Raw genomic sequence first — 10,327 nt, 5'->3', positions numbered from 1 at the left:
TAATTCCAATCAATTTTAGGATTTTTTTTTCTATTTCTGGGAGGAAGACTGTCATTGGTATTTTGACAGGGACTGCATTGATTCTACAAATCATTTCTGTTGGCATGGTCATTTTCACAATATTAATTCTTCCATTCCATAAATGTGGGAAGTCTTTCCATTTTTTCATATCCTCTTCAATTTCTTTTCATCAGTGTTTTACATTTTTCCTTGTGGAGGTATTTCACTTTCTTTGTCAAATTTATTCCAAAAAAATTATTTTTTGTAGCTATTATAAATGGGATTGCTTTCTTGATTGTTTTTACACTAGAGAGTAGTTGGTGCACAGAAACTCTACTGATTTTTATATGTTGATTTTGTATCCTGCAACACTGTTAAATTTGTTTATCAGTTCTAAAATGTTTTGGTGACTCTTTTAGGGTTTTTAATACATAAAATTATGTCATCTGCAAAGACAATTCGACTTCCTGCTTTCCAATTTGGATACTCTTTGTTACATATCTTTTGTTAATTCAAAGGATAGCAGATTGGTTCTAGAAATAACAAGGACCATTTTTATATATGAAATACAAATCAAATTTTCTTCATAATTAGAAAAGCTTTGAAACCTATCTTCTTCTCTCCTCCCTCCTTCCTTTTCCTGGTCTATGAACTTTATTATTCAAGAAAGATGACTTCAATTGCTGCTAGCTTCACATAATTTTCACCTAGTTCTCCATATAAATACAGATTATTCAGGAAGGTTGAGAAACCTGCCTACAAGAACTAGCCCACACACTTCCAAAGCTGTCAATATAATAAATATAATATAATAAATAAAATAACTAAGTTCTGTGGCTTTTCCCCATGTGATTCAGGCCTGTATATATTCTCTCATCATTGCATCCTTTCATGTAAGGTAGTGCTCCTGGGTATATTTATGAAATTACTCCCATGTCTGCTCAAAAAGTTGGCTTTCAGACCTCTGTAGCTGGTGACTAAGTAAACTGTCAGGGTGTAGTCCTCAGGGGCAATTTGTAGACAGTTACCACATACAGTGTGGTCAGGAGTTGTGGAGCAGAAAGTTCCCTGAATTAAGTAGAAGGAAGGAGTAGAATATTTTCAGAGAAGAACTGTGTTCATGGTTTATTTCACTTTTTAAAAATTTTCTTAAACACCCGACACGGTTATTCATTTAAATAATTGGGGTAGAGGAAAGAAAGGGAGAAAAAAATTACACTTAGATTAACCATGTTAAACCATTCTGTTACATTTTATTTTGTTTTTTTTTTTCTATTTTTTAAACACAGGTTATTTAGCATACATTTATTGAGTATCTGGCATTATGCTAGATGTAGTTGTGGTCACGTTACGTGGTCAATTTTGGATCCTGAAAATTCTCATTTGACTTTACAATCAAATTATTTCTTGATATTACATATACTTTGTTATAAATATTAACTATATTTTAACATGAAAATTATTGGACTTAGAATGTTAATAGTTTGTTTTATGTGCTAAAAGTAAAAAAAGATAATATTCTTTAGAACCAGATGAACACAAATCCAGATTCACCTCATTACCAGCAGGGTAAATGAAGGCAAAATATGTAGTTAATCTGCTCCTCAATTTTTTCCTTGGAAGTCTAATTGCTGGATCATATGGTAGTTCTGTTTTTGAAGACCCTCCATACTGTTTTCCACAATGACTGCGCCATTTTGCATTTCTGAAAACAGTATAGAAGGGTTCCAATTTCTCTGCATCCTCACCAACATTTGTTATCTTCTGTAGTATTTTTTTATTAGAGCCATCTCTTGATTATCTGCTCTCCGATCCATATCTTCAACTTCTGCCTTACTGTTCTACATATTTCATTAATGATCAAGCATGCAGAAGTCTTTTCCAGTTTTAAAAACAAAGAAACCAAAGCAAAAACAAACCATAACCACTTCTTCAAGCCCGTATTTCCGTCCAGCTACTTCCATTTAATTTATATTTACAGGGCAACCTCTCAAAGGAAGCATTTTCACTCTTACTCTGTTTTTTACCTCCCATTCTCTACTCAACCCACCCTCATAAGGCTTTATCCTTTCCACTCCAGTAAAACAGCTCTCACTAAAGTCAATAATGGCCTTCTTTTTTTAAAGCCAATTTACATTTCTGAGTCCTCATGTTAATTGATCTAGGAAGAGCACTTGAAACATTTGAACACGTCTTCTTTTTAAAAACATTTTTCTCTTAGATACTCTGGTATCACAAACTCTTGGTTTTCCACATAACTTTCATGCTGCTCCAATTCAGTCTTTACTTTTGACTTTATTTTCTTACCTGTCCTTTTAGTTTTACTTTAATGTATGTATTTTTCCTACTTGTTAATTTATAAATTACATGCTAGTATGGGCTGAATTGTGGCCTGTCAAAATTTATATAATGAAGTGCTAATTCCCTGTATCTTAGAATGTGACTGTATTTGGGGCTTTATAATTATCTTTCTCCCTATTTAGAAAGGTAATTCAAATGAAATGAGGCTGTTCGGGTGGTTCCTAACCCAATATGACTGCTGTGTGTATAAGAAAGAGGAAATTTGGACACAGGCATGTGCCTGCGCACAGAAAAGACCAAATGAGGAAGTAACAAGAAGTCAGCCATCTGCAAGCCAGGGCGGGAGGCCTCAGGGAAAACCAAACCTGTCAACACAATGATCTTGGACACCTAGCTCCAGAACTGTGGAAAAAATAAATTTATATTATTTAAGCTACCCAGTCTGTAGTATTTTGCTATGGCAGCCCTAGCAAAGTAATACATATACACTGAAAGGTAAAAATGTTAAGTGTTCAGTAATGCAGTTTTATACATTTGTAAGGTAGTATATAGTCACCACCTAGATGAACAAATAGATCATTACCAGCCTCCCAAGTGACTCCGACAAAGTAACCACCATCCTGATCTCTATTAGCACAGATTAATTTGTTTTTCAATTCCAAGCAAATGGAATCATACTGTAGTAAGCTTTTTTTTTGCTTCCCATTTCTTTTGTTCAAAATTACATCTGTAAGATTCATTCTTTTTATTGGATGTAGCAGTAGTTTACTTTTTTATTACATAACTATAGTATTCCATTTTATTGCTATAATTTTGGTTATCTGTGCTATTGGAAATAATATGCTCTTATTATTTATTGCTAACATTCTAAGAATGCAGTTGACTTTTCAATACAAATCTTTTATCCAGAGACCATGATAAGTCTCTTAGACATTTTAGATTTTGAGGTGAGGAGAGTTATGAGGTGGCAGGGAATGTTTTCTATGTAAGAAAACATGCCTCCTATAAATAATGAGTTTTACTTCCTCTGAATGCTTACTTCCTTTCTAATCTTTGTAAATTTTGTTTTTTCTTTGCCCTACTGTAGTAGCTATGCCTCCAGTACAATGTTGAAGTAAAGATTGAAACCACCCTTAATTGGTTCCTGAGCTCAGGTTGGAAAATGTCAATACTTCACCACTGAGTATGTTTGCTCTAGGCTTTTTGTACATACCATATTTTTTAAGAATTATAAAGTTTCTTCTATTTTTTTCCTAGAGATTTACACGTGTATGTGTTAAATTTTCATTAAATGTTCTCTCTATATTTAGCATAATCAGCATGTATCTTTATTCTATTAATGCGGTGCATTATATCTGATGATTTTTAAATCTTGTTACAAAATCTACTTGGTCTGGCCATGCTAGGTGGCTCCAGCCTGTAATCCCAGCACTTTGGGAGGCCAAGGCGGGCAGATTACTTGAGGCCAAAAGGTCAAGACCAGCCTGGCCAACATAGCAAAACCCCATTTCTACTAAAAATAAAAAAAATACAAAAATTAGCTGGGGGTGATGGCCAGTAACTGTAATCCCAGCTACTCGGAATGCTGAGGCAGGAGAATCGCTTGAACCTGGGAGGTGGAGGTTGCAGTGAATCAAGATCATGCCACTGCACTCCAGCCTGGGTGACAGAGAGAGACTGTGTCTCCAAAAAAAAAAAAAACTGCTTGGTCTTAATGCATTATTCTTTTTATATGTTACTGGGTTTGATTTATCATGTTATGAATTTTGTCAAGTTTTTACACAGATACAATTCTGTTATTACAAACAAGTTGGGAACATTTGTTTATCTTTTTCCATTCTCTGAAAAATGAGTGTAAAATTGTATTAATAGTTCCTTAAATGTTTGAAAGAGTTTATTAATGTATTCATCTGGAGCTATAATTGTCTGTGTGAGGAAGATCTCTTTCTAATTGATAAATTTATTTTTCATATGTGAGTTCACTTTTCCTGTTTCTTCTTGTATCAGTTTTGACAATTTTTTTAAAATTGATAATTTCATGTTTTTGTAAATTATTTTTCGTAAAACTTTTTAACGTAAGACCGGATATTTTCAAGGTCTGTAAAATGCATGGTAATTTATCTTCTTTATTCACATATTCTGCATGTCTCTTATACCGTTGTGTCTTGTTTTAATCTTTCATTTTCCTTCTGTGCTTCCATTACATTTTTTTATTGACTTCTCGAATTCATTAATCCTACCTTGTTTGTCATGTTTTCTAAAATCTTACTAGTGAGTTTTGTATTTTATATATTTTGTTTTCCGGGATTCTATATGGTTGAGGGGTATGGGATTGAGCTGAGCCAGAGTCAGGTTGATGTTTTTAGTAAGGATCTGTTCAATTCTAGTTTGTGCCTCTTTCTTGTGCATGGACTTCCTTGGCTTTTCATTCAAAACCTGGTGTGTTTCTATTTCCTTATCCTCCAAAATGATGAAGAATATTCAATTCTGCCTTTTCTGATGTTTTGGACATACTCTTTAGCTCATTCTTTGAAGCTTCAGAAGGGCACATATCTTAATGGAGGGGCAAGATGTGTGCTCGATGCAGGCCCATCCTTCTAGCTGGAGTGCAATGGCACAATCTCGGCTCACTGCAACCTCTGCCTCCTGGGTTCAAGCGATTCTCCTGCGTCAAGCTTCCTGAGTAGCTGGGATTGCAGGCACTGGCCAACACACCCTGCTAATGTTTTGTATTTTTAGTAGAGACGGGGTTTCACCATGTTGGTCGGTCTGGTCTCAAACTCCCAACCTCAGGCGATCCATCCACCTCGGCCTCCCAAAGTGCTGGGATTACGGGACTGAGCCACTACGCCCAGCCACAGACCCTTTTATGTAACTTCCTGAGCTGGACAGTTAAATTGTGTCATAATACATGTCAATGAAGTTTAGTTTTTAGTAGGTGCTTTTAATCAATCACATAATTTCATGTACTGTAGTGAACTCTCAGCTGATGAAGGATTTCAAATCATATAAATGCTTTCAATTTGATTACCCTTGAATCTTCACTTTCAGTGGTGTTCATGAAAATATCTCCATACACTTTGCAGCTATATCATTTTCAACCAAACCACTCCTAGGATCTGATTAACCCACAGAAGTAACTTTGTGGCCTCTAAATCTAAGCTGACTGCAACCCCTTGGAACTAAGTTTATGATAGGAGAAGTCACCTTGTGGTTTATAGTTTAATATGCTCAGTGAACTCTAATGGTGCTTTTCTCTTTCTTCAGCAGACACAAATAATTTCCATGACTGAAGATAAAAGTATACTTTGTATGTCTTTATTGCTTTTTCTTTATTTTCTGTTGTTTGATCCGTATGCTGTCAACCTAGCACAAACATCATATTTTTCTAACCACTTCTTCAATATAAGTTATGTTTTCTGCCTTTCTCCTGTTGGCACGCAAAGACAGAAGCAGGTGCAAAAGAGGCCGACTATTCCGCTGCTGTGGGTCCATTCCACATTAGGTTGATAAATCATGTAAGCATAAGCCATTTGTCAAAAATACTTTTATTGGAATCAGAATTACTTTATGTGCAGGGGTTGCAGGACTGGTTTGCCAGCTCATACTAAATAATTTATCAAATCCTGATTTGCTAGAAATATAATACAGAAGGAACACATAATACAATTAAATAAAGTTCCTCTATCTTGTAATAGGACTTTGAGAGAAATGTAATTACACATCATTGTCATATCATAAATACAATTATGCTGAATTCAGTAGTCAAATGTGTGCTCATGTATTTCAAAATACATACAATAAGTAGGGGTTATATTTTGTTACCAAACTTAACTTCATAGTAGTGAATATTCTTCAATCATAGCTATAACTCTTTTGTAGATCTTTCTACTGCTGCTGATGATAAAATAATAATCCTGTTTGATAAAAATGAAACATTTGGTTGTCTCTTGAGTTTCTCACTGAACTCCAGGTAACAAGGAATTTCCTTCTGCTTACCTATGAAATTCTTCTTTATCAACATTTTTACCATTTATTATGGTAAAAATATCTGGGATCTCTCTCTGATCAACCTTTGAAATTAAAACTCATGAGTCTATCTGAAAACTAAAGAAAAAATGTAAATTCCTTTAAAAAATGATTATAATGTCTGCTACTGAGGAACATGACAACAAACCTCTGTGTTAGTAAATTTGTAACAGTGTTCACTATTTGGGTAATGGGTACCCTAGAAGCCCGGTCCCCACTAGTATACAATATACCCAGGTAACTAACAAGCACATGCACCCCCTGAATCTAAAATAAAAATAAATAAGTAAAAATCTTACATTAATTGAAGGAATGATGAGCATATCATCTTTTAAAAACCCAGTGGAAAATTTTCTCTCAGCTTTGCTTAAGATAACTGCTTTCAGATCACATGAGGTCAGGAGTTCAAGACCAGCCTGGCCAACATGGTAAAACCTCGTCTCTACAAAAAGACAAAAATCAGCGGGGCATGGTGGCACATGCCTGTAATCCCAGCTTCTCGGGAGGCTGAGGCAGGAGAATCACTTGAACCCAGGAGCTGGAGGTTGCAGTGAGCCGAGATCATGCCATTGCACTCCAGCCTGGGTGACAGAGAGAGCAAGACTCATCTTGGGGGGAAAAAAATACTTCTGCCTCTCTTTTTTCTTATTTTTATTTTTTGTGGGTACATTGCTTCTGTATCTTCTAACCATTGTTTAATTTTGTATCTTGAGAGCGCTGCAATTCATGTAGTAATCATATTTTCTCTCTACTTTGGCTCTTCTGCAACTAACCATCACACTTTAATATCCGAGCAGAATTTTTCACACGTGTTTTGAATAGCTATCACTCTTCCATTGGCATTGCATGTGTTTTTCTGTCATTGTGTGTGTGTGTGTGTGTGTGTGTGTGTGTGTAATGACCTTATGTATTATTTATGACAATAAGAAATGTAAATTCTAAGGTATCTTATCATACACAATGACTGACTTTCAATTTGTTGTGAGAGTATTATATTTTTATTCTCTATTCCATTTCAATTTATTCTATCAAGTATGTTTCTTTAAACACTTATCTTTTTGTTTATTGAATTTGGTACTTCTGTCTTCAGAATTCATAGTTTCCTCATGACTTGGTAGCTCCTAGTGTTTTTTTGGTTTGATCATTTGTTTTGTTTCTTAATCGTTTTCTGAGTAGTAGTCTGCATAATTTCTCTAGTTGTTTTTCTATACACCTAAATTTTTTCTGCTGTTTATCTTTCAGAATTGCCTCAATTCCTTCTTTTCTCCCGTTTTATTGAGGTATTGTTGGCAGATAAAAATGTATATATTTAGGGTGTACAATGTGACGTTTTGATACATTGGTAATTATTTCACCATGTAGATGTATATCAAAACAGAATTGCCTTAATGTCCTGTGTGCTGATGGTAGTTATTGTTTTTATTGTATTTCCCTTTTTCCTATGATTTTCTAACTTTCTGTAATTCCATGAATGAGAGGAATACAGAGACTCAGTTGGCCATCTTGATTTAGTCTCCCCCAATCATTTTCTATCTGTTGGAAAAGGGCATCTACCACTGACAGATGTGTGTGGTCTACTTCCGGGCCCTCACTTCTGTTACGTTCATCCAAGTGTCTGTTCTTTTACTAATAACACAGTGTCTTGATCACTTTGGTTTAGGTTAGCCTTAAAGTTGGATAATATCCATTGTCTAACTTTGTTCTTCTTCTTTAATATTGTGTTGGCTGTTCTGGCTTTGTTTGGTTTATATTTTTCCTTTTCCAATAAATTTTAGTATGAGTTTATAGACATCTACAAAATTAGACGGTTGGGATTTTGAGTGGAATTGTATTGGTTTAATAGATCCAGTTGGAAGTAACTGACATCTTAACAATATTGAGTCTTGCAATCCATGAACATGAAATATTTCTCCATTTATTTAGTGTGTCTTTGGTTTCTTTCACCAGAGCTTCGTCATTTTCCACATCCATTTATAGTGATCTTATAAATTTTGTTAGATTTATTCCTAAGGATTCACTTTTTATGTTAATGTAAATTATATTGTGTTTTATATTTCAAGTTCTAATCGTTTGTTGCTCTTATAAAGGAAAGCAATCAACTTTTTATGTTAACTTTTTATCTTGTGGCCCTGCCATATTTTTTAAATTAATTACAGGAACTGTGTCCTGTAATTCTGATGTAATTACAGGACTTCCTGTAATTCTCTGTGTCTTGATTCTAATTTTCTTTACTCACTGCATTAGCTAGGATTTTCAGTACGATCTTCAGCAGGAGTGGTAAGAGAGGACATCTTTACCTTGTCTCCAACTTAAAGTGAAAACATTCGGTTTCTCACAATAAAGTATGATATTAGCTGTAGGTTGTTACAGATGTTCTTTATTGAGGTGAGAAAATTCCCTACTATTCCTAGTTTGCTTAGAGTTCTTAGAGGTTTTTTTTCCCCCTCATCTTGAATGAGTACTGGGCTTTTTCAAATGATTTTTCTATATCAAGTGCTATTATCATATTCTTTCTTTTTTACAATGTTGATTTGATGGATTAATTTTTTGTGTGTGTGATGAAGTCTCGCTCTGATGGCCAGGCTGGAGTGCAATGGCCTGATCTCAGCTCACTGCAACCTCTGCCTCCCGCGTTCAAGCGATTCTCCTGCCTCAGCCACACGAGTACCTGGGACTACAGGCACATGCCACCATACCTGGCTAATTTTTTGTATTTTTAGTATAGACGGGGTTTCACCGTGTTAACCAGGATGGTCTCAATCTCCTGACCTCATGATCCACCAGCCTCAGCCTCCCAAAGTGCTGGGATTACAGGTGTGAGCCATCATGCCCGGCCATTATTTTTTTTTTTTTAATGTTGAACCAGACTTGCACATCTGGAGTAAATCACACTTGATTGTGGTGTATAAATACTTTTATACATTATTGGATGGCATTTGATAACAATTTGTTGAGATTTTTGCATCTATGTCTACAAGAGATATTGGATGTAGTTTTTATTTCTTGTAATGTCTTTATTTTTGGCATCAGGGTAATACTGGTAATACTGGTAATACTAAGATAAATTAGGAAGTGTTTTCTCTTTAATTTTCTAGAAGCGATTGTAGAAACATGGTTTAATTTGTACCTAAATATTTTTTAGAATTAGCTAGGGAAAGCATCTGGGCCTGGTGCTTTCTTTAATGGAAGATTATTAATTATTGATTAAATGTATTTAATAGTTTTAAGCCTATTTAGATTACCTACTCTTCCTTTTGTGAATTTTGTTATTTTTTGTTTTTCAATAAATTGGTCTATTTCATCCATTATTAAATTTGTGGGCACAGAATTACTCACAATGCTTTATTATTATCCTTTTAATGTACATAGGATCAATAGTGATGATCCCTCTTGCATATCTAATCATAGTAATTTGTGTCTTCTTTTTTATGGACAATTTCTGCTTTGTTTCAAAACTGCCATTAGACTAGCTATTTTATATTAGAAATGTACCACTACCCCTCCTACAAGCAGCAGTTGGGAGGTGTTTAGTTCTGACGTTTTATGCAGGCTTTTTGTTGGTTTCTTTATTTCCCTTCTCAGACTTATTTGCTGATTTCTTTTATGCACAATGTCTTTCTTGTTAGATTTTCTCATATCATGCCACAGAAATCCACAGACATAATCAGAATCTAGTCTCTCAAAGGGTATAAGCTGCCCAGAGAGAAAGGTGAGCTGTGAGAAGATTTATTCCTTGGAAGAGCCATTGGAAGACACCAAGCCAATTACCAAGAAAGGTTTCTACACAACTTTTCAACTATCATAGTAGTTTGAGATCTTAAATTTCACAAATCATTTAATATATCAACTCATCCCACAAAGCGTCAAATCCCCTGATAAATAAATGTTACCCTGATGTTTTAGAAATGAGGCAAAAGTGACAATGGAAAGAAACTGGTTATCAGATCAAATGTCACGTATGTTTCCCCTTGATGGAAATTCCTGGTGAGTTACATTC

The 10,327-nt window shown here is 34.8% G+C and overlaps 1 annotated feature.

Moving 5' to 3' along the window:
- Nucleotides 2,500-2,569: a silencer, noted in NCBI's record as "silent region_2802". NCBI's record gives its function as "represses an Ori minimal core promoter by ATAC-STARR-seq in GM12878 lymphoblastoid cells {active_cell/tissue: GM12878}" and the evidence as "EXISTENCE:reporter gene assay evidence [ECO:0000049][PMID:35858748]".

Source organism: Homo sapiens, chromosome 10, assembly GCF_000001405.40.
Source record: "Homo sapiens chromosome 10, GRCh38.p14 Primary Assembly".
Taxonomy (NCBI): Eukaryota; Metazoa; Chordata; class Mammalia; order Primates; family Hominidae; genus Homo; species Homo sapiens.
This window is presented reverse-complemented; position numbering and strand designations above follow the sequence as displayed.